Here is a 26,134-nt window from a genome sequence, read left to right as displayed (position 1 = left end):
TGGCTTTAGGTTTGCTTAAATTTTGTTCAAAACTATCATGGGAAACCCATTACCAAAGGAGACAACTCCTTCTGTGTACAAAAGGGAAAGACCCACTGGTTAGAAATTTCCTGAATTCAGGTGAAATTTACTTTCCTATAACTTCTGTTGGTTCTAATTCCTCTCTCTGAAAATGGAGATTAAATCTGATTTCTCATAAGTTCTCTTAGTATTTGCTGAGGCCTCTTTCTCTTTTCCAGGCTTTAGTCTTTAGTCTTTTTCCCTTATTCTGTGTCATGGCTTTGAAGCATTCATGATCCTGGCCCAAGTCTGCCAGATGCTGCACCTAATGAAGTATAAGACTTGGCTCCTTTGAGTAACTCTTGTCATTCTTTCTATTGAGGGAACTTTTAAAAGTCTGTCTTATTTTCTTTCCCTTGAAAGAATAGTCTTAAAATATAGCATTTGTATCTATAATTCAGAAAAAAATCGATGGGAAATTCTCTCCCTTAAGATTAAAGTACATGGTGATTGAGTAGTGCCTACAACAGCTGCTAGGTTACATGAGGCTCTTGCTTTACGTGCAGTGGCAAGTCTCTTGACCTCTCTGAATCTCATTTTTAAGATAAAGGGATCATTTCTAAATCTAAAATTTTATGATTCTAGTTTAGGTAAAGGTTTACATGACAACGTGAAAGGCTTAAAATGGTTAATAGGCTCAAAATAAGAGCAAATTTATTAACACATGAAGGTACAAACATGTTAATAAGCATATTAATAGTATAAAATATAAAAATAATTTGATAAACAAATTTGATAATTTGATAAATTTGACGAGTCCATTTATATTTGTGTCATTTTTTCCCCCTCCACCCCACCAAAACTTTCTAAAGAGAAATTCCCAAGAATGCTACATAAAACATATTTGGATCTTTGTACTATTTGGCGACAGGGTTTGACTTCAGTTGGTGGTAGGAGAGGTAGGATTTTAGTCGAAGTTTTTCAGTCTTTTTTCTTAATGAATTAATGACATGGAATCCCACTGATAACTGTGTAGGATTAGGATGTTGACAACATAATAGAAATGTATCTCCTGTCACACTAATATGTATAATCTACATTTGGATTCAATACATAGCCCAAATGAGAGGATTTAATTTAGCTGTAAAATATTAATATATATTTTTAAACATTCGAGTTAATGAAAATATGGATAATTTAATATATTTAAAGTTTACATAAAATACATGAAGCATTAGTATTCATGATTTTCCTTTACTGTTTTAGCCCCCCAACCTTTTTTTGGTTTAAAACTCAGGTGGAACTGTTAGTAATGATGAATTTTCATATCGTTGTATGGCACTATTGTGACACAGCCCTTTTTAGTGGAAAAGGAAACATATGAAAGAAATATAGAATATTTGCATCTCATCAGAAGCACTAAAGGAAATATTAATGCAAATACATGCAGAAAAACAAACATAACTAGTATAGTATTATAACATGTAAAGACATGGAGGAATTTCATCCAAATATTATTAAAAGGTTGGGAATTGTTATGCTGTGGATTAGGGGTTGACAGTTACTGTAGCTTCCATGATAATCCTGGGAGGCTGAATTTTTGAAAGCTCTCTGACCCTGCTGAACTAGAAGGGCTAATTTGAGAAGGGTATGGTGTAAAATGTGGCCTTTTATAGGCTGAAAACAGGGATTTGTTAAGTGGTTGTTGAATGAATGCATGCCTTGCATTGTTGGGCAAAGAAGTGAGGGCATTGCTTTTTTCCCCTGGAGTAAGGAATGAAGTAAAAGGTCATTGAGCTTTGTAGAGCACATATATTCACTAAATACTAGGTTGATGAGTTGTTGACTTGAGGATAAAGTTATTATGCCAGCATAGAGGAGGATCTGGGAAAAGCTCTAGGAAGGGTTCTTGGACACTGAGGAAACCTTGAATATCAACAAATGTGCTTTTGGATTTGGCAGAAAGGATAGAGAATAGAGGAATAGTGTGAAAAAATTATCTACTCTTTATTTATTCATCAAATATATTTTTAGGTACTTTGATAGGCCTTGCAATACAAGAATGAAACACCCAGCCCCTCTTTTCAGGGAGAAAACAGTTTAAAAGAAGGTCACTGGACAGTGTAATGAGTGCTGTAATGGAATAGTAACATGTGCAGGTGCTCTGGTCATGCAAAATGCGTCCCCTGACCAGTTAAAATTTTCTTGATCCAGTTTTCCTCACCATTAGTCTATTCTTCCTCCTAATAATTATTTTTAAAAGTAACAATTTTCAGAAGTTAAAATAAACCTAAATGATCATGTAGTTTGTTACTGCTCAAAAGGGGATGGTCCATGGAATAATGGCATAGCATCAGTTAGAGCTTCCTGGAAAATGTGGTCTTCTTAGAAATGGGCTGCATGGGCTGGGCATGGTGGCTCACGCCTGTAATCCTAACACTTTGGGAGGCCAAGGTGGATGGATTGCTTGAGTTTAGGAGTTTGAGACCAGCCTAGGCAGCATGACAAAATCCTGTCTCTACAAAAAATACAAAAAGTAATAGGGTGTGTTGGCGTGTGCCTGTAGGACCAGCTACTTGGGAGTCTGAGGTGGGAGGATGGCTTGAGCTCAGGAGGCTGAGCCTGCAGTGGACGGAGATCGTGCTACTTTACTCCAGCCTAGGTGACACAACGAGACTCTGTCTCAAAAAAGAAAAAAGAAAAGAAAAGAAATGGGCTGCATATCTGACCCACTGTCTCAAAATCTGCATTTTTACCATGCCCACCCGCCCCCCTCCCCAACCTGGTGATTCGTTTTCTCATTGAAACTGGAGAAGCACTAATCTGGTTCACCTACTTCCCATCCAGTTTTACAGATGGAGGAAATGAAGATAGATTGTGCTCCTAAGGTCCTATGCACAGTAGCAGAGCCAGTGTTAGAACTCAGCCAGTCAGCTGGTCATGGTGGCTTCTTACTAGTGCCTCTTTCCTTCTCTCTTTTGGAAATTCTCTGTTGAATGAGAGAACAACAGTGCACCACACTATATATAAAAAAGAATGAACATTTTTATTTACTTATAATTTGTGGCATCAGCAACTCAGGAGGCTGAGGCAGGTGGATCACTTGAGCCCTGGAGGTGGAGGCTGCAGTGAGCCATGTGTGCACCACTGCCCTCTAGTCTGGACAATAGAATGAGACTCCATTTCTTAAAAAAAAAAAAAAAAAAAAAAAAAAAACCCAGTCACCAGTCTACTTACTGGTAGGGTCTTGTGTGCTTTCTCTGATGCCTCTGTTATTTCCTGTTTCTCTTTACTTTTTTACTCTTCTATTGGCCTCTATTAGTGTTTCATATTGTAAGATCTTCAGCTTCTCACTAGTGTCTCTTTCCCTCTCTCCTGTGGTAGTCCTCTCTTTAAATTTCTCTGTTGAATGAAAACGATACAGCATACCACACTGTACATCAAAAAGAATGAGCACTTTTACTTACTCTTAATTTCTGGCAGAGGTTTGGACCTATTTCTTTAATTTTTTTTTTCTACCCGCTACTCAGAACTTTCTTTGAAGTCAGTAGGAATTCTGTGTGTGGTAAGGGTGAGAGATAATCTATGATGTTAGGAATTAAAATCTCCTCACAGATACATTTATCTTCCTTTCTTTGTTACATGGAGTATGGCATTAATCAGAGTACTTTTGCTCTTTGTATAAGTCTCATGGGAAAAACAGCGCCTGCCTTAAAGTTGGTGGAAAAGAACAGGATACCACAGCAACTCCTTCTCTGTGACCTAGAACAGAGAGTTTGTCTAAATGTTTCTTCTCTAATATAGGGGGTTTGTCTAAATCTTTTTTTTTCTATAATATAGAAAAAGAAATACCTAAGTAGATGCACACCTCATGTTTTATAGGGGGCCTTTAGCATAGAAAGATATGGTCATAGAATGATAATGAACATAAAATGATAAAATGCCATTAAGAAAAGTGAACAGTCACTGATAAGACCTTCGTGGCACAACGCCTTTTTAACAAAAGTCAGCCGTGCTATCTTTTAAGTCATTTCCTCCTTGTGAGAAGTTTACCATCTCTCCTGTGGTTCAAATATATTGGTTTATTTTTAACTCTGAAATGTGTTTGATTTGAGTGATATAGCCATAATCTCTATGAATAGTAGACCTCCTTTTAAAACTATGAAATAAAATCAGTTTTTCTGTTTTCCTGGTTCCCATATGTGTTTTTCTTTCAAGTCATTATCACCTTTTTTTCCCATATCTCGAGTCATCAAGCAATAGCTCACCTTCTTAACAACTCTGATTTCATTAAAACCATAGTTGTGTCATTTCCTGACTTTGCAAATTGTTTGATTAAATATTGTGTTTCGTATCTTGTATCTTACTGTCTATTGACAGTATATAGACACAGATTAATTTTTTAAGTAAGGTATTTTAATACCTAGTTCACTAATCCAGAAGCATTTTGCATATACAGGCTTTAGTAAAAATGACAGTTTAAATAGGGAGTTATTATGATCAACAATTAAGTTAAATTCATTTAGGTTGGTTCTAAGAAGTTGAATTTTCTTTTACTACTTTAAAAATACATTATTTCTTCAAAATACGACATAAAATGTTTTGCATTGCCAAGAATAAACTAGAAATTAGATTTGCAACCTTCAACTGTTGTTTAGCTTTTAGAAATATAAAAATTAATATTAATATATTTTTATAATGTGTTAAAAGATGAATTTTTGTTAATCCCATCCATATTTCATTATCATGCTTGTTTCAGAAATGTTTTACTTGTGGCAACATTCCATTATAAAATTGATTTATGGTTGTGTATTTGAATATGCTGGACAATCAATTCATTTTAAGTAAAATAATGTGTTGCATTTTATATATATAGTTACACATATGTAAGTTATGCGATTTACAGCTCTAGAGAAAAACATTCAAGTTAGTTATTCATGGGAATAAAATAGGTGCATGTTCTCAATGAAAAAGTTAGAAAAATGTCTTGAATATGGTGACTGTTTACATTATAGAATTGTAATTAACCCTAACTTAATCTCTCAGTGCCCCTGTACTCTTGTCTTCAGTGTCTCGAGATATTTCAGCAAATGGCTACCATCGCCCCGTACGTACCTCTCCAGTTACATTCTTGCCTGCTTTAGGAGTGGACACACAGAGCAGCCTCCAAGCTGCCCTGATAAATTTCACGTGTATAATATGGAAGACAAATGTTTCCTTAACATATTTATTTTCTGTGTATGAAGTTTTTCATTAACTTTTCATCCCAAGATAACCACCTCTGTTTTTAGTGCGCTTTATTTCTTGTTTTTGTTCTGTAGGGTCTCTGTAAAACATAATGTGTGACATAAGTAATGAAGCATAATTTTCAAAAGCCACTTGCAGGAGTCAGTATTGTTTCTTTGGTTTTTATACCATGTATTTTTTGTTGGGACTCAAAGGACAGTGATCCGTATTTAGTCAAATTAGGAAATTAAGTTGAAACATCTTGATTCCTAAAAAGTGTATTTTATAAAACATTTACTGATTAATGAATTTTATGGTATTTTGTTCTCTCTATAGATAAGCGTGTGGAAAATTGGCCTCTGATGCAGTCTCCTTGGCCTACACTAAGTATAAGCACTCTTTATCTCCTGTTTGTGTGGCTGGGTCCAAAATGGATGAAGGACCGAGAACCTTTTCAGATGCGTCTAGTGCTCATTATCTATAATTTTGGGATGGTTTTGCTTAACCTCTTTATCTTCAGAGAGGTATGTTTTTAAGATCACTTTAATAATTTTCCAAGGTTATTGGAAATTTAAAAATGAGAATGTGTAAAACCATCATTGTAATATTTTACCCAGACATAACTGTTAGCTACTCTAAAAGTACATTTTTGACATTTTTCACTTTTGAATAACAAAAATATTAAACATGAGGTATAGGAAAGTTGTTTAAAGTGGAATTTTGAATAAGACCAACTGGATTCTAAAGTAACCCTTATTAGCTGTTCTGGCATTGAAAGTTATTTAACTTTTCTTAGCCTCGTTTTCCCCACTTAAATACCTACCATCTCAGGTTATTATCGGAGTAAAGTAAGATAATTTTTGCATAGTGTTTGGCACGTATTAAGCACTCAGTAAACAGTAGCAGCTATTTATTTATAATTCTTATTCAGTAGTTTCTGGTTTGGTAACTGATCAAAATATGCCAATTTCAAGTAAATCCTATTACATAATGTTGTATTTTGGGCTGGAATTAAAATGAATTAACTGCCATATAGCTGTTGTTACTAATCATTATATACTTTTCTGGGCACTAGCAAATTCTCCACAACATTTTCAAAGGAAATCCTAAAGGCTAGATTGACACAGCCATTTTTTAAATTGCATATGTATAAAGAATTTGTTTCCTAAGAGACTCATTAAAATTCTGTATGAAGCCAGAGAACTGACTAGTAATGCTAGGAAAATAAACAATAACTCTTCTTAGAAAAAGAAATATTTCTTTACTTGAAAACTTAGCCTCGAGTCTCAACTTCATGAACACTTTAATTTATTTGGATACCTGTACCTAATTTGTTAGATGCAAACCACTCTGGATCAAACATAGAAACCAGTTAAGGTAGGACAACTTTGAAATCTGAGTCCTAGCAATAAAAATTTCTCTTAATACTGTGAAGTATTTAATAGATAGAGTCAATGTTCAGTATAAAATTTACATGTGATTTTTAATTTAGATTTTAATTATAGAACAAATTAATGCACAGTAACTTCTAGCAATCGGAATGCATGAAATTTTTAATGCATTTGAAATTTTTAAAGAAAATATTGTGTTTAAAATAATTTGAAAGGCTACATTTTGTATATAATTGTGTTTTTAATGCTGTGTTTACTAAAACTTTACTACAAATATTATTACTCTTTTTCCAGTTATTCATGGGATCATATAATGCGGGATATAGCTATATTTGCCAGAGTGTGGATTATTCTAATAATGTTCATGAAGTCAGGGTAAGTACATTAAAAATACTCTTAATCAGTAAAAGTGGTTTGATTTTTATAGGCCCCAGTCTGTGAAAATATAGAATGTACTTTTTTTTAAGAGACAGTTTCTTTAACATTCATTTAGAGACAGTTTCTTGCTCTGTCCCCCAGACTGAAGTGCAGTGGTATGATCATAGCTCACTGCAGCCTCAAACTCCTGGGCTCAATTGATCCTTCTGCCTCAGCCTCCCAAGTAGCTGGGACTACGGGTGTACCCCACCATGCCTAGATATTTTTTTACTTTTTGTAGAGACAGGGTCTTGCTATGTTGCCCAGTCTGGTCTTGAACTCCCAGCCGCAAGGGATCCTCTTGCCTCAGCCTCCCAAAGTGCTGAGATTACAGGTGTGAGCCACCACACCTGGCAAAATGTACTTTAATATGATAGTGAAATTATACTAGATTGTTATGAGTCAGTAAAACTATGCTTTTTTAAAAAGTACTTAATTTAAAATTTGTTTTTGTATCTCAAAAATGTTTTTTATTTTGCAGCATGAGTGAATATGCATTGAATTACTAGAATGCAGTACTTGTTAAAGCAAAGAAGTCTCATGTTTATTTTAAAGACATTATTTTAGATTTTTGTTTGTTTGTTTTTGCTCAAGAGTAGAAACTCTTAGAGTCCAAGTTATGTGTTAAGAAAGTGAGGAAAAGTAAATGTTTTGTGAAGTGTGGAATATTTAGGAAATTAGGCATAGAACAATTTGTATTGGCATAAACTCAGTTTTTTTATATTTGCAGAAAAATAAAACACTAGTAACAAGATGTTATATTTTATTTTCCATTCACTTACATGAGTAAAATTAACATTAAGCAAAAGAAACAACAGATTACCTTATTCTATTACGTATTTATTGAACTCTTCTTATATACTGTGGTTCATACTAGAAATTACATATAAAACATAACATGTTTTATGTTACCTATAGTATATGTAGTAATAATATCTAGTGGCTTCCCTTGAGAAAAATAGTTTCCTGGCATGGGGAGTGGACAATATATAAATATCAGTATTCATCAAGACTGGAGACAAAATTGGTTTAATGTACTTAACAATTTTATGTACGTATCTTCATTTCCCTATTAGAAGACTTATGGACTGATGAAAAATCACCTGTCTTGGTTGTCATGTTGGTTTTATTTATTCATTAAATATGTATTGAGCATCTACTATATGTTGGTACTGGGGACAGGGGTGAAAAGCCCTGCCTTTGTGGGGCTGGCATTTTAGTGAGGGTGAGAAGGCAGACAGCAGCCATGTAAACAAATGACTAAGGAGGAAATAAAACCTAGAAGGTGACTGAGAGAAAATGAGAGACTACTCAGATGTATTGGCTATGAAAAATTTTCTTCTGATAACTATTGCCAAAGAATCTCTTCAGTTGGAGGGCTGACTTCTTGCTTGCCGTAGGGAAGGGAACAGGGATAAGTGTTTGACTGACTGACTTCTGGGAGTATGCATAGAAAAACCCTTGGGTGGGGCAACATATTACTATTTTTAGGATAAAGGTTTAAAAATACCACTCTCACTTACAGATGTAAATTTTCAAGTCTTTAAAAAATGAGCTATTATGAGAACTGTAATCTAGGAGGATAAAGAACCTGAGATTTGCAACAGATTTCATTTGAAATCTTCCTCGTGCTCTCTTCTCCTCTCTAATATGGGATGCAATAGAGTGAATATTTTACGCAGAGACTCATTTCTGTATTCATTGTTACGTAGCCAAGAAGTATCACTTTTTGGTGTAGTTTATTTAAAGATATCTAGTGCAGTTTGCAAACTAAGCAGACTTATTTGTTGTTATTTTATGTGAATTGTGGCAAATGTAGAGGTCCAGATAGAGGAGAAATAAGAGATTGTATCTTTCCTTCTAGTTAAAGGTTACGATGCCAAAATGGTGACAGTTACTTTATTTTAAAGAACTAATATAATAGTGAATATTAACTATAGTGTTGCTGGGAGTAGTTAACTATTTCAAGCTTATTTTCAACCAATTCATATCATTTTTAATGATATTTTTCAAGTAAATTCAGTAAATAATTCTCAGTTTGTAAATACTTTGTTTCTTATATGCTTTCTGTTTCTTCTTTCCCCATACTTTAAAATTATAATTTTGTTTTTCAAATGCAAAAGCCAAAACAAACAAAAATCTCATGACATATACCAGGTGCAGGTATAAAATGCAAAGGGATCCTTCAACTCTAAAACACCTAAGCCTGTCTGTGAATGAATCTGACAGGGCCCTAACACATGAAAGCTTATAAATAGATTTTAGTTATGTACTGCCTTAATTGTTATTTGCACATAGGATGCTTATCATAGAAAATACTTGACATAAAAAATTAAGTTTGGTTTACTGTTACAGTAGGATTCTTGTAAAACATTTTAAAACATACAGAGGTCACCTCTCACTGGATCCTTAATCTCAGTATGTAATGTAATCTTTCTGTACCATCTGGTGCCTTAATTAGAGCCCAGGAAAAGAAAAGACTTATTCATGTAAGCAGGATTATATTTATGACCTGGGAAATATTTGTTTGTTCATTCCAATTTTTTATTTTAAAGATTTAATACCTAATACAAACTGCTGTGATTGGATATTTATGTTGTTGCACATATTGGTGCAGTCGGAGAGGTGAGGGAGAGAGGGAGGTGAGGGGAGAGGGTGGGCAGACAGGCAGACACTTGTAGAGACCAGTTGCTACATGAACTTACTTGCAAGTTTTTCTGAGGTAGTATAATGTAGGCTAAGCATGAACAACTAAAATCATTTTACAAAGTAAACATCTTAGTTCCTCTACCAAGTTGAAAAGCACAGCAGTCTGAATGTGCTTCCAGCTCTGTATTCAGCAGTTTGACACTATGTAACATCTACCTATGGAATAGACAGAAAATGTTCTCTAACTTATTGGCACTGTATAGATAGAGCTTTGGACTCTTTCTTTTCTATTTTTCCCCATGGAGAGATGCTTAGGTTTTTCAAACCTACTTAGCCATTAATGATTCCATGCCTTGTACATTTTGTGCAATATACAAATGTTTATTTTGGACTTACTTACAATGAGTATAAACCCATACAATAGTGTCATTTTGGTGTTTATAACACGCTTTCCCTTTTTACAGATAGCTGCTGCTCTGTGGTGGTACTTTGTATCTAAAGGAGTTGAGTATTTGGACACAGTGTTTTTTATTCTGAGAAAGAAAAACAACCAAGTTTCTTTCCTTCATGTGTATCATCACTGTACGATGTTTACCTTGTGGTGGATTGGAATTAAGTGGGTTGCAGGAGGACAAGGTGAGCATTTTCAGGAATATACTGCTTGCGTTTAATTGCATATATGTGTTCAGTGGAAAGCAATGAGAACCTAGGACTTTGACTTGATCTACCATTTAACTTGCTTTCATGGTTAATCATTTCCATGTTCATTTCTTTTTTTTTTTTTTTTTTTTTTTTTTTTTTGAGATGGAGTCTCGCTCTGTCACCAGGCTGGAGTGCAGTGGCGCGATCTCGGCTCACTGCAACCTCCACCTCCCGGGTTCCAGCGATTCTCCTGCCTCAGCCTCCTGAGTAGCTGGGACTACAGGCACACACCACCACGCCTAGCTAATTTTTTGTATTTTTAGTAGAGACAGGGTTTCACCATGTTGGCCAGGATGGTCTCGATCTCTTGACCTTGTGATCCGCCTGCCTCGGCCTTCCAAAGTGTTGGGATTACAAGCATGAGCCACCACACCCAGCCATCATTTCATTTTTTAAAAAATTTGAGGCAAGTATAACTTTTGCTTTTTATCTGTGACTACTTTAATACCTAAAGATTTGCCCCAGAGATGAGCATAAACCAAGACTAAAGGTAGAAAACAATATTTTGATGGGGAACGGGTCTAGTAGTTCTGATCCAAAGAATACCAAGACACAGCCCCTCAAATCTGAAGATTTCCATCTTAGCCCATAGCTCACTCCTGCCCTAATACAGATTGAACATCCCTAATCTAAACATCTGAAATCCAAATGCTCCAAAATTCAAAACTTTTTGAGCACCAGCATGATACCACAGGTGGAAAATTACACACCTGACCTCATGTGATGGGTCACAGTCAAAACACAAGTGCAGAACACACTTTATTCAGTATACCTAAGGGAAAAAAGACCCTCTTAGCCCTTTTCCATGTACAGCATAATGTTGATGCCAAACAACCACAGATAATGTCCACACGGGTGACATCTTTGCTTTCTGATGTTCAGAGTACACAAACTTTGTTTAATGCATAAAATTATTTTAAAATTTTATAAAATTACCTTCAGGATACATGTATAAGGTGTATATGAAGTTTTGGATTTAGACCTGAGTCCTATCCCCAAGACACATCATTATGTCTATGCAAATATTCCAAAGTTTAAAAAAATCTGAAATCAGAAACACATCTGGTCCTGAGCATTTTGGATAAGGAATACTCAGCCTGTATAGGTCTTGTTGGTTCTTATTCAAAGGAAATTTTATATAGCCTTGTTAATGTTAAAGAGGATCTAAATTCATAGCTTGGCCAAGATCTGCCTCCTGTCTTTTCAGATGCCTGTAGATTAAGGATGATTCACATTGTTGAGCTTGATGCAGATTATTCCTCTGAGGAGGATCCAGGGTACAAGTCATTATAGTATAGTTCACCTTGCTGCTTTCCATTGTCATATTATGATAATTGGCAGCTTAGGAATTCATACATATATTATTGGGGGCCCAGTTTAAAACAATACAGTTAAAGGCAACTTCTGTAATTTTAAAAGAAAATTAGTAAATCTGAACTGACTTAGATCACTTTATGACAAAAATTAATTATTATTACATCTATACCTTGATTAAATTAATATTCTGAAAAGAAAGAATGTCATTGAGTTTGACTGACTGGAATATCTCTGTAGATTTATCTATATTAAATGAATTATTCAATGTGTGTAGTGCTGTCATATTTTAAACTATTTAGAAACCTAAGAAATAAGTACTGTTTTGTTGCAGATATATATATTGGCACATCTAAAGGCAAGAATAGTAGAATTAAAAGTAACATAGGCAACAGTTCTAAGGGCCTATTTAAGCTCACTGGAGTACTCCATTTGAAAACCTACAACTGTGAAAGTCCTTTGCATTTGAACATACATTTTTATTTATATGGTAAAACCTCAAATCTAAACTTTAAAAATATCTAGCTTAATCTGAAGGGAAAACTTTTTCATTAGTACTACTTTATATTTTTCATTTCTAATCTGTACTCAAGATTAAATATTAAAAAATAATGTGTATTCATTTATTGTACATCTCAGTGGCTTACTGCCTAATAAAATTTTCTGTATCTTGTAATTACCTGTTGTTTTTCTAAAGCATTTTTTGGAGCCCAGTTGAATTCCTTTATCCATGTGATTATGTACTCATACTATGGGTTAACTGCATTTGGCCCATGGATTCAGAAATATCTTTGGTGGAAACGATACCTGACTATGTTGCAACTGGTGAGTTAAATGCTTCCAAAGTTTCTTCTGGTAAAATACTGAAATTGTTTAAATTTGATTAATTTTAAAGTGCAATGTCATTTTAGACAATTTTCTATTATGAAATTAACTTTATCCTCCAGCTATATCGCAGTTATGCCCACTTGACTCTAGATGACCTATTCATAGACTTATTGGTCCCAGCAAATCTTTGTTTTTATAATATGCTTAAAAGACTAGACATAGCCCTTACTCCTCTAAGGAAAACATTCTCTAAAGATGTTTGTGGAAAGGATGATTAAAGATCTAAGCACGCTACAAAGTACGTAGTATGAATAGAAAAATAATATGTATTTTTTCCCTACAGGTGATTTTCTTAACTTAAAATTTTATTACCTTTCTTCATCTTGTCCTTGCTTAAAAATTTTGTTTTTTATTTCATTTTTCAGTCTTTAACATATCTCATATATTTAGACTAAACAGCTGAAAAGAAAGCACATAGCCAAGGAAGGGGTGGGGCAAAGGAAGGGAATAAGGGCAAGAGAACTCCTTGTAATTCTCTAAAACACTGTCCTTAAGAGAGCAGAGACAGATATTTTCAAATGGTGGTCTTTAGTCCAGACAGTTTTCAGCACATCCCGCTAGTAAGACTGTTTGTGGCAATCTGAGTGTGTGCATTAGTGTACCTTTCAGATGCTAGGCACTAGCCTGTAATCAAACTGGAAATTCAAAGCCAACCTGGTAACTATTTTTCAAGCTTTAGAATTTATTATAATTTGCTTTAATCATAGCATGTGCACAATTTTATCAGTGGAATCACATTTGGAAATAATATTCATCTTTGCTTTAAGTTGCTAAACAGCTGGCTAACCAAACAGGAAGCACAACTTTTGGGAAATGCTGGGTGCGAAGGATTCATTTGTAACCGGAGTGGTATAGGAAGCTTCCTCCAGTTTTTGTGTAAAAGCTGTTAACACAGTTTGTGTAATTCATTTCTCTCAGTAAGTAGTAAATGGACCTAAGAAAATGAAGAGGTGATCAAAATCATGTGAATTAGTCCTATCTGGTTTGTTGGAGCCTACACCTGGCTCTCCTTGAGTGATGCCATACCCAATCACACCCTTATACACACCCTTTTTGGTGATGCAGCTTCTAAAAACCATTGTGAAACCACAAGTTCTTCAAATTAAAATATTTGCCAAGGAAAATTATAAAAGTTTAATATAGTATAAATTTTTAGCTTACATGGCATACATTATTTTAATATTTAAAATAAGTAATACTGATTATTTTAATCAATAATTAATATTTTAAGAACAATGCTATCCTTAAAAGAGAAACCACAATTGTCCATTTCAAACAGGATGTTGAGTTTGTATTTCCAAGCCAGAAGTTCCCACAACAGTTAGTCATATAAGTTAATTGTATAAAAAGTTAACCCTTGTTAACATTATGTCTTGACCCATTCTTTTATTGATACATCAGAATCTATTTCATTTTAATCATCTCACTTTGGGCTTTTTTCCTTTTAAAAATTCTTAAAGTTGAAAGTGATTCTTTTTGTATTTATTCTGAAATATCTACTAAATTTTATCCAAATATTATTTTTTTCTTTTTTTGGGACGGAGTTTTGCTCTTGTTGCCCAAGTTGGAGTGCAATGGTGCAGTCTGGGCTCACTGTAACTTCCGCCTCCTGGGTTCAAGCTATTCTTCTGCTTCAGCCTCCTGAGTAGCTGGGATTACAGTCATGGACCACCACACCTGGCTAATTTTTTGTATTTTTAGTAGAAATGGGGTTTTACCATGTTGGCCAGGCTGGTCTTGAACTCCTGACCTCAGTTGATCCACCCGCCTCGGCCTCCCAGAGTGCTGGGATTGCAGGCATGAGCCATCGCACCTGGCCATCAAAATATTAGTTTTTAAAGGATAGTGTTCGTTCAAATAAAAATTTACCTGCCTACTATCTGTAAGAAATAAATGAGCCATTTTGATAAGCTCATTTTAAGTATGTGTATCTGCTTGCTGACAATTTGATAGAAAGAAACCAATGTAAAATGTGGGAGGAAAACAAAATTGAAGAGCCTACAATACTATTACTTTACTCTCCTAGGCCATTGATTCCCTTTCATCAGATAACATTATTCAACACATATTCATTGATCCTGATGCTGTGCTGAGGACTCAAGAATCACCGATGGGCAAGACAAAGCCCTGCCTTCTAGAGTCATTTTCTAGTGGAAAGATAGGCAATAAAGAAATAACAAATACAGAAGACAATTTCAAATAGGTATAATTCTCCTTAAAAAAAATGCAGAAAGCTCTTTGGTTAATGGGATTGGGAGGGCCAATTGAAATTGAAGTCTTGTCAGAGAGTCCTTACTGAGGAGATGGCATTTGAGTTGTGAATGAGGAGCTAGCCATGGGAGCCAGAAAACAATAAATTTTGCACAGTGTGGCAAAATTTGGGCCTGTGATAGCTATGTAGAAGATGCCGATGTTGTTAAAAGTTGTTTACTATTCAGATTAAATGTTTTGTGCTGTCATTTCTGTTTTTCAGATTCAATTCCATGTGACCATTGGGCACACGGCACTGTCTCTTTACACTGACTGCCCCTTCCCCAAATGGATGCACTGGGCTCTAATTGCCTATGCAATCAGCTTCATATTTCTCTTTCTTAACTTCTACATTCGGACATACAAAGAGCCTAAGAAACCAAAAGCTGGAAAAACAGCCATGAATGGTATTTCAGCAAATGGTGTGAGCAAATCAGAAAAACAACTCATGATAGAAAATGGAAAAAAGCAGAAAAATGGAAAAGCAAAAGGAGATTAAATTGAACTGGGCCTTAACTGTTGTTGACAGTGAGGAAAAACTCCCATATCATATAAAATTTCAGGGAAAACAGAAGCAAAGGAGAGCTTGGGGGTGGGGAGAAAAGACAAATGTGCTCTATGTCCTAGTAACTCTTAGACTGAGTAAAGTGTTAATACCATACCCAGATGTTTTATTTATGAAGTTTTTATTTTAAACATTTTTTTTAAAAATTAGCCTTGATATTCTCCAGACCAAAGCAATCATTAAGTGACTTTGGGGATTCTCCCCCTGTTCACATCCAGTTGTCTAAAGGATGAGATTTTTCATGTATCTTATAGTCACTCATTCTTCGGTCTGAATTTTAGACGATCACAGAAACGGTCTTTATGAATTATTTTGATAAATTACTAATTATCTTATCTACTGACTGAAATCAGTGGTGTTACATTTTCTTGTCCAAAGCTGAAAATGTGTATACACTTAAACTTGCACATTTGAATTCATTTGCTGACCGGAATGGTCAAATCTCTCCACCTCTAGTCAGAGTATAATTTTGGTTGTAATTAAATTTTTAAAATCTGCTGATCTCTGTAGAATCTTAGAGGCTTGATGATGATGGTGTTGGTGAAAATAAGAAAGAATTGCAGTAAAGTCTTGTCTGGTGACCCAGAGATCACCATGACTTGAGGCACAAATCACTGTGGGGAAACAATTTTTTGTGATGAAAAGGCAGCATTTGAATACTCCTGTTAGTAGCAGAAATATATTATGAAAATTAAGATTATTGTCTGATTGAAACATGAAACAACTCATGTCTTTATTAGTAACATCATAAGATAGTTACATTTATGTGCTGTTAGAATATGTTGATTTTTATCAGGCTTTCCTTGTTTTGATTTATGGCTGTTCCTGATTTTTCATATGTGGAAATATACCTACCTCTTCCGTTGGAAAGAACATTTAAAATTAAATAAATTTTAATTAAAAAATCAAGGAGTCTTCTAATGTAAATTTTAATGTTAACTTTCAAATCCACTAGTATTTTTTTTGCTTTTATGACAAATAGCATACACCAAACATTTCTGTGAAACTATCCTTCTCTTTCAATGTGTTTAATTTTGGAGTAACGTTTTCCTTGTGACTAAGTTGCAAGATCTTATTTATTAACTAGGTATGAAGTATAAACCCATTTTGGTGCAATATTCTTGACTCCTTGGTGCTAAAGATTGTTAAATTCAATGCTTGATGTTACAAGGTGTTGTTAAAACACAAAATGAATAAAAGTGAGAGTAGTCAGAACTATAACATTCAATTTGCTATTTACAAATGAAGTATTTCATGTAATATAAGTGAACAACTGGAAATAAAGTAGGAAAGAATTTGTATCATGTTTTACTACATAGGTTAATTTTTTAAGGGATGTTGCAAAGGGATTACTAGAGAAAGACAAAATGTGACCAAAAAAAAGCATGAATATTTCTTAAGTATCTCAACAACATGTCAAAGCTGCATGTGTAGGATGTATGCTGTTTGTACAAACTATTTCAGAATATTTTGTAAGCTATAACATATTTATTGTGCATTAAAATTAAATACTTTTTCCCCAAAGGCATGCAGTCATGAGAATTACAGAAAATTTGCAACATATAAAGTAGTTTGATCTAAGAGGATTCAACACCTTTGTTTTGTTGCTCAGTGTGTAATGACTGAGATTTGTAAATCTTTGTGAACATTCTGTACTGGTTCCCAAGAGCTATTCATTCCCTGCTACCTGATTTCAGCACAATAAATATACTTCTGCTGTGGGAAAAATATGATTTTTTTTTGTTAATCAGTTTATTATAATGTAAACTGTCTGCTAGATGTTTATTTGATTTAGTTAATTCTAAATTGTTTTCTGCTGCTAATTTCTTATATAGAAAAAATCAAACTAGAACTTGGGTATCTACCATTTCTGGTAAAAAGCTTATTTTCTATAGTAGCATATTTTTACTTTAAAAATTAGCTGCTTTTGGAAGAGCTTTTCATTCAGACATAAAACATACCATTTTCTTCTAAATTATTCTTAACATAAATGGGGAAGTTCTTGTATTCTTTCATTTAAATCATTCAGTCCTTACTATAAGTTTCTTTATAGAAGATGATTATAAGATGTCATAAATACAGCCTTTTCCAGTAGCTTTCATAATTTCTCTATTATCACAGATATGTTGCATGCCTTATATCTAGAAACTGATGAATAAAGATTGTGTCTCCTACTTGGTAAAACTTTGTCACTAACTAAAGTAACATTTTCTTACATAGAAGACAAGGAATTTGTTAAATACTTACAATAACTAGAAATACCTGAGACATGTGAGTTTTCCTCTATAATAGATGACCATAGCTCTTTCTCTTTCCTTTGTTACTTCTTCATTTTTTGGTAGAAATGAGATTTCACTATGTTGCCCAGGCTGGTCTTGAACTCCTCACCTTAAGCAATCCTCCTGCCTTGGCCTCCCAAGTCTGTTACTTTTGACTGTTTTGCTGATGGAAACTAACAAATGACTAGTTTTAGTTTTAACATTATTAATTCATTCTCTTTCTCTTGTTGTGCATGCTCTCAAGGTATTCAAAAATATTTTAACATGGATTATTATGTTTGTACTTTAGAACATGGAATCTAGCAGTGCTTTTAGTTTATTAGGAATATTTTAATTTACAGGCTTGTTTCATATATGCAACTCAGCTACCCTGTAAATGGGAAAGAGAACATAGAGGTATAAGTGATTTTTGTTGTATTATCTATTTGACAATACAAGTCAGATACTATATATTGACTATTGGAGCAGAACTTTTGAATCTCTCTCACCTTCAGAATGAGACACCACACTGAAGAGTTCACACTCTCCCAGTTCTTTCCTTGTTATAGCCATAATCTCAGCCAGCTGTACTCATAACACCGTGCTTACTAAGAAAAAAACAGCTACAGCTAACCAGGATGTGTGCTGGCTGGCCTGCTCAGCATGGACCTGGGTGGCAGATTTCAGCATCCTGCCAGATGGTAAATAGGGCAGCAGAGGTGAGAGACTGATACTGAGCTCTGTACACAGGCACACAACACACAACATCTGAGCAGTAATCATAAAACCTGCTGAAGGAAATTGGTCACCTGCCACTCAGCGTGCAAGTAATTTTGGCAAGTGACCTTAGCAAGTCCTTATTAGTGGTGTAATTTAGAATCCATGCTTAGTCTTTTGTATTTTAGGCAGATAACTTCTGAATGACAAGAATATTTGTGAAAAGGAAGAGAAGTAGAAATGGATTCCTTTTTTGTTGTATTTTTGCACCAACCTAATATTTTTGTTTCAAAATACTACAAATCATGTAAGTGTTAGAAGTTAGTTTTCCTATAAATTACAGAGGGGAAGGCACAGCTGTGAATTGAAAGGCAAAGATCCTTTTGAATTTGTTTTCATAGGAGGCTGTGAATCCTGGAGGAGATTAAAAAACCTAAATTTAAAATAATTGATATATAGAACCACTGCCACATGAAGATTGTAAGATTTTAGAATGTATCACTGGAAGAGCCTTGTGACTTAGCCAGAAGGGGATCCAGAGCTGTCTTTAGATGATCAATGGGAATGCTATGAGTCAGTCACCCCTTGGTGTTCTTTCAGACTTAGAAATGTCGGTTTTGCTGTTTCCTTTGAGAAATTAAACTTTCTTCTATCTTTTTCTTTTAATTAGGGTGTTGTTTTTTTCCTTTTCCTTTTTTTTCTTGTCTTTTTCAATTTACCACACAAAGCATGTTTACACATCAATACACATGAGCAAATTTTTGTTCATTTCTTCCTTGGAGACCCATCTGGTCTTAAATAGAAACTCAACTTAGATTTTGATTTTTTTTTTTTTCCATTCTCATACATGAGGTTATCCCAGGGAATGTGTTAATAAAGTAGTATCTCCTTTGAGAGAGAAAAAGTGCACGCTGAAACACATCACTTAATATCTAATTATAATGCAGCTATCAGAAGGTCACATTGCTTTTGAACATCTATACAGAATATGTCCAAATTAAAAGCCATCCTAAATACAAAAAATCTTGAAAGGTTTAAATAATATGGCTATTTCTAAAAACATAGGATCTTGAAATTATTATTTCTCAATTTAATACAAGATTGTTATAAAGAATATTTCATCAGTCCATGTACATATTCCATGTACTCTGTCAGTCTTTAGGTATTCCTGAATCCCTTTTCTACAATTTTATAGAAGCCAGTCAGATTGCCCCTTTTCTCAGTTAAATTTTATTTTCATTGAATTTGCCATGGGAGAAAAAAGAGAGCATCCAGTTGAAATCCCTTCTTTGTCATTCATGATGCATTATATTTCAACTGAGTTTCTCCTCCCTGTGAGGAAGCTGTCCTAGGAACCAGTCTTGCAAGAATAATGATTAGCTTGCTATTTGGTAATTAGAGGGTGGGTAGATTATGAGTCTTATACGATAGATAGCATTATGTTAGCAACAGTCACACCTCACCTGAGAGTGTGGCTTGTGTTCTAATTAATAAATCTGGGGATCAAATACATTTACAATTTTTATAAGCATATTATATAGTTAGGGTTTGTCAGTTGTACATGATACAGTTAGGTTTCCAATATATTGTGATTTCAGATCTCAGTAAAAATGTCATAAAGACATAATCGCAAAAGAAAAGCTGCTTTTCAAAGCTATATTTATTCAACATTTGTTTTTGTTATGCTTGAATTATTACTGCCAGCCCTTGTAAAGTGGTACCTAATCTTTCCTCCAGAAATAAAAGTAATATGGGAACTCATGAGGAAAAAGAGCAGCCAGATGAATTTGGGTAACAAATTTCTAATTTATCGTTAAAAGTTGAGATTTGGAGCTTACATCCTGAAGTCTACCCCAAATATTAACTACTTCAGAAATCAGGCGTCATCTTTAGGTTAGTGTAGTAGCTGTTTATGGGCACTACGAATCCATTCCTTTCCCTTTGATGTGTTCTCATTCTCCCCTCCTTCAGTATTACAGAGTTTGGGGAACTAAAAATTACATTTCTCAGATTCCCATGTGATCCCCTCGTAAGTTTAGGTTTTGTCAATGTGAGGCACTCGTGAAATTTTACAAAGGCTGAAGGAGGTGGGTGTCACCTTTCTGTAGTAGCACAATTATGTAAGTGGGCTCCTACAGACAAAAGTGTTGGAAACAGTTGGATAACATGTTCCACTATCTTGGCATCAATTTTATGAATACAGACAGTGCTAATGGTGATGGCACTTATGACAGATGTGGTTGTATGAATTTGAAGCTAAAGATTAAGGATAGCCTCCTGACTTTTATTCCTCCAAGTTACCAATAATTTTATAAACATCTACTCTTTTGAATTAAAGATTTTCTGCTTGAATACCTTGAGTGGTATCTATTATATGTGATGAACCTTACCTAGCTCAGTATTCAGTACCAAAATTTGATCAAGAAATTGACTTTTAAATACAATATGACATTGGTTATCTGACTTAGTTGAGTTTATAGGCAGTGATAACTTCATGACCACTGGGAAATGGGATACTGTTTTCCGTGAAGCAAATAGCTAAATGATCACCTATGGCCACATAGGATGGAATAGCTATTGAAGACAAGCCTTTGACAGACTGGCTGCTGCATTGCACTATTGTGGTGCAAATAAGAAACAGAGAAAACTTGAGTGGAAGGATTGCTTCCTATAGCACTGAAGAGCTTACAGAAATAGTGTTTGCTCTTATTTTAAATTCTTGGCTTAGGGCAAGGAAAAAGTTGCAGACAGCTTCTATGACCCGCCCTGACCCCCTGCCCAAGAGACCCTTTTATATATCTTAGCTGCAGACTTAAAATGCCTTAAAACAAGATTTAAAGTTTGCTCCTTTGGATTGCAGAATTACAACTTGATTTCACAGCCTCAGTGGTTTCCTGTGTGAAATTTGTGGCATTGATCATGAAAGGATGGGACCTAAAGAAACAGAATGGGGATATTTGGGTAGATTTGGATGAACCTGAGAACATGAATCTTTAAATTGCTTTGAATATGCCTGTTCATAAAAGCAGTCTGTCTTCCCTATCAGATGACATTAGTCCTTTGTTGCTTGAGATACTATAATGACCTCAACCAAGGTAGTTACCTTCCAAGGGGATGCTGATCCCCTTTATGCCTGCCTTCTCCCCTTTCAGTGCCATCAGAGCTGCAAAGAGAATTAGATCGCAGCATGCCCCAGGAGAACAAATACAAAATCTATCCTGGGAGGAGGCAGTTAGAATGATAGGATTTGGCTAATTTTCATTTGCAGGAATGTGTAGGAATAGGTTCTCAGCGTGTTAAGGCAGGGAGAAACATTTCTTTAGAATGAACTGAAATTATTGATATAGTTCTTATATATTACCAAAAATTCTTATTTTGAGGACATAGCTAAACAGTGAGGAGCAGCTTTACTGGTTTTTCAGTTGTTCAACTGAATCAGGGACTCAGTGGCAGCCTATATTAAACTCAGATATATGTTAGAAACTCTTTGGAATAATGTGGAGGAGAGACTCCAGAGACTTAATGGAGTTAGGAGTGTTGGAGAAGGTCTACCATGTGTGACCCACTTGACTAGCCCCTCTCTATGTTTGAGATATCTATTGGTAAGTTCCACCAGCATCCTTGGAAAATTCTGTAGTGGTTACTTTCTATAGATTGGGATCATGACGGAGGGAGGAAGCTGTCCCTAAAATGAGTCCCTTAATTTCAATTTCAGTGGGAATTAGAGTATCAGATTGGCAGAGGCCAAATGGCAGTATTTAAATGCCAGAGACAAAATAGACATGATTATAGTCATGGGCAAAAGAGCCAGAGTTATTATTAGAATAGCTTGGCCTGTGGGCATCTATGGTGGTGGCCAATTTATTTTGATGTCCTGAGGACTGAAATAGATAGACTAAGGTCCTTCTTGACTAGTATAACTGACTAATCTGATAAACACTGGCCGGACTTGGGTCATTACAATGAGAGACACAGCCCCTCACCAATTCCCATTCTTGTTCCAGTACACAGACCCAGAGTTTTTTAAATGGAGGGAACATCGGATTCCCTTGAAATATTCTTTGGTGATGTCACAGGATATACTATCAGTCCTCTTTCTAGCTTTCACCAAAAGGGAAAGAAAATAAGCACGCTTTGGGAGGATTACTGGGACACTGACTCTGAGCAGATGCTGCTCATTGGGCATCCCCAATTGCTACTGTGCTCACCAGTCAAAATGGAGGCTTATAGAGGCCAGGTGATAAATATAATTTTGATCTGAGTTCATCTCACAGTGATTCAGTGGGTCCTCAAACATACCCTTCCCAGTTCCTGCACGTATAGTTGGATTAGATATATTCAACCTCCAGCTGAACTCCCACATTAGCTCCCTGTCCCATGGAATGAAGGCCATTATGGTATGAAGGACCAAGTTGAAGCTTCTAAAATGTCCCCTTCTTATTGAAACAGTAGACCAAAAGTATTGCCACATTTCTGGGTGAATGTCAGAGGTCCATGTCATCATCCAAGGTCTGAAAAATTCAGGGGTGATGATTTTTTGTCGTACCCCCATTTAACACTCCTGTTTGACCCAAGCAGAAACTGGGGAGTCTTGGAGAGAGTGTATTATTATTAACCATGTAACTCCAAATTCAATGGCTGTTTCAGATGTAGTTAACTGAAGCAAATAAAATGTTCAGAGCTGACTTGTTGCTATGAATCTGTTAAAAGTGGTTTTCTCCCTTCTAACAAAGAGATGACAGAAATCATTTCACCTGGTAGGGTAAGCTGTATGTCTTTGCCATCTTACCTCAGCTATCCAGTTTTCTGTAATAATCTAGTCCACAGGAACCTTGTCTGTCTCATCATGCCAGAAGACATCACTTCGTTCCACTACATGGTTAGCATCATGCTGATTGGCTGTGGTGAGTAGGAAGTGGCAACCATCATAGATTCCTTGGTAAGGAACGCGTGTGCCAGAAGGCGGGAGGAAAAAACAAATCATGTAAATTCAAAGGCCATGACATCAATAAAGTTTATGGCAGTCCATTAGTTTATAGCAAGTTGAGATATTTCCTCCTCCATATACAAAGCTGTATATATGTTGTTTCAAAAATCCAGTGAGGCCGGGCGCAGTGGCTCACGCCTGTAATCCCAGCACTTTGGGAGGCCGAGGTGGGTGGATCACAAGATCAGGAGTTCGAGATCATCCTGGCTAACACAGTGAAACCCCGTCTCTACTAAAAACATACAAAAAAAAAAAAAAAAAAATAGCCAGGCGTGCTGGCAGGCGCCTGTAGTCCCAGCTACTCGGGAGGCTGAGGCAGGAGAATGGCGTGAGCCCAGGAGACGGAGCTTGCAGTGAGCCGAGATCGCACCACTGCACTCCAGCCTGGGCGGCAGAGCGAGACTCCGTCTCAAAAAAAAAAAAAAAGAAAAGAAAAAAGAAAAAATCCAGTGAGATGGTAACAATCATTGTGTCTCTTTAATAGTGGGTGAAAGAAAATCGCTATTAAAATTGCACACTATTAAAAAGACCCAATGATTGTTACCATCTCACTGGACTTCTGAAACAACGTACACACCTTTAAATGTGCTACTTGGACCTATTTATCAAGTATTCCATAAGACTGCTAGTTCTGAATGGGATCCAGAGTAAGAAAATGATTTGTAACTATGAACTGTTGTGCATGCTACTCTGCTATTTGAGATTTAAGATCCAACAGATTAAATGGTGCTTGGAGTGTTTGGCAGAAAGCAATCCTGTAGAGACCCCTGTCAAACCTTGATTTAGAATTACAGTGCAATCCTTTCAGGTTTTAGAGCAAAACCTTGACCTAGTCTCCAAATAAATGTTAAGAAACAGATCTTGGATTGCTTTTGGGTCATGGCAGAGACTTGTGTATCTGACCACAGAATATAAAATGATCATGTAAACAACTGCCCATCATGGTCTGGGTGTTATTTCATAAACTAGGACATGCACAGCAGCACTCCTTCATCAAGTAGAAAGTCATAAAGACACAGGTAAGAGGCATGAGCAATGCCTCAGGTGACCATCGCACCTGCTCTTGCTGCATTGCCATTTCTCCCTCAGCCCACATATTTGACCACATGAAAGTTCCTATGAAATGTTAGCTGGTTGTGTTTGCACACCTCCAATCCATTTTGATCTGTTTTGTGCCCTGAAATGCTGAACCATATGGATTACATCATCTTGGCTCCCTTGCCAGCTGTCTTCCAGTTGGATTCAATCAATAGCAAGTGCCAATGGGAGATCAAAAGTTTCCAGAGTGTGAAGAACACTTCCATGCCCTCTTCATACTTTAGTGTTGCATCTCTGACCCTACATACCTTCCTCCACAACCACAGCCCCTGCTGGGAAGCAGCTTCTCCATAGGTCTAATTCTCACTGAGCTCTGTTTCTTTCCTTGCCCCTCCAGAGAATAATAACAGCTCACACTCTTGCTAGTTTTCTTGCACCTCCCCATCCCTTGTTTGTTTCTTTATGCCTGCCTATATCTCTACATGCAATCCTTTCATTAAAGGCTCTGTATTTAAACCATCTGGGACAAAGTCTAATTTATGATGGGACCCTTATTGAGAAACTGTAAAAGAAAGTAATTGAGCCTGGTTTACAAATTATTCCACATAGTATGCAAACACCAGCTGGAAATGGACTGTGGTAACATTACAGCACTTAGGAGTTGCCCTGAAATGTGCATGGGAGGAAAATCCTCCTTATGAAAGAACTTTGGGCAGTACATCTGATTGCTCCCTTTTCCTAGAACGAAAACTTCCCAGGGTTGTGCATTTACATCAGTTTTTTGGGTAACGGATAATGATTTGGCTAGATGCTCAAGGATTTGGAAGGAATAAAATTGAGGATTGGTGATAAACAGTTCTGAGTGGGACTTTATGTGTGTGTTCCATGTAAATGCTCACCAAAGGCACCTACTGCAGAAGAGGCTGTTAATAAACAGAGGGACGGGATAATCTGTTCTGTGGATATTAGCCTCCTTCCTTAGTTTCCCTAACCATCCCATGTTTGCTCACTGGGTTTATAAACAAAATGGACAAAGTACAGTGTAGTGTGCTTAATGGTGGCTCTGGGACTTATAAATGTCACCCTATTTGAAAAGTGGAGTCTTTATAGATGTGATTAAGTTAAGGACCTTAAGAAGAGAAGATAACTCTGGGTTCTCTGGGTGGACCATAAATGCCATTCCAAGTGTTCTTATAAGAGGGAAATGCCCCAGCACTTTGGGAGGCCAAGGTGAGCGGATTACCTGAGGTTGGGAGTTTGAGACCAGCCTGACCAACATGGAGAAATCCCATCTCTACTAAAAATACAAAATTAGCTGGGCATGATGGCACATGCCTGTAATCCCAGCTACTCCAGAGGCTGAGGCAGGAGAATCGCTTGAAGCCGGGAGCTGGAGGTTGCTGTGAGCTGAGATCACACCACTGCACTCCAGTCTGGGCAACATGAGTGAAACTCCATCTCAAAAAAAAAAAAAAAAAAAAAAGAGGGAAATGCTATACCTGCAAAGAGGAGATGGTGATGTGAAGACACAGGCAGAGACTGGGGTGATGCAGTCGGGAAGGCTGGCAGCCACCAGAAGCTGGAAGAGGCAAGGAGTGGTTTCTCCTCTAGACCCTTCAAAGGGAGCACAGCCCAGCCAACATCTTCATTTTGGACTTCTGGTCTCCAGAACTGTAAGAGAATAAATTTCTATTGTTTTAAGCCACTAATTTTGTGGTAATTTGTTATAGCA

At 36.0% G+C, this 26,134-nt stretch overlaps 1 protein-coding gene across 1 annotated transcript in view; it reads left to right on the top strand.

Annotated features, from left to right (window-relative positions):
- ELOVL4 (ELOVL fatty acid elongase 4) overlaps positions 1-17,130 on the top strand; it is a 32,740-nt gene extending 15,610 nt beyond the window's left edge. Inside the window, exons 2-6 of the mRNA NM_022726.4 lie at positions 5,563-5,750; positions 6,912-6,992; positions 10,148-10,319; positions 12,397-12,524; positions 15,061-17,130. Of these exons, the coding sequence (NP_073563.1) occupies positions 5,563-5,750; positions 6,912-6,992; positions 10,148-10,319; positions 12,397-12,524; positions 15,061-15,336 (845 nt within the window). The 3' untranslated portion in view covers positions 15,337-17,130. The remainder of the gene's footprint in view (positions 1-5,562; positions 5,751-6,911; positions 6,993-10,147; positions 10,320-12,396; positions 12,525-15,060) is intronic.

This window comes from Homo sapiens, chromosome 6, assembly GCF_000001405.40.
Source record: "Homo sapiens chromosome 6, GRCh38.p14 Primary Assembly".
Classification (NCBI taxonomy): Eukaryota; Metazoa; Chordata; class Mammalia; order Primates; family Hominidae; genus Homo; species Homo sapiens.
The sequence above is the reverse complement of the archived record's forward strand: the minus strand, read 5'-3'. Positions and strand labels throughout refer to the sequence as shown.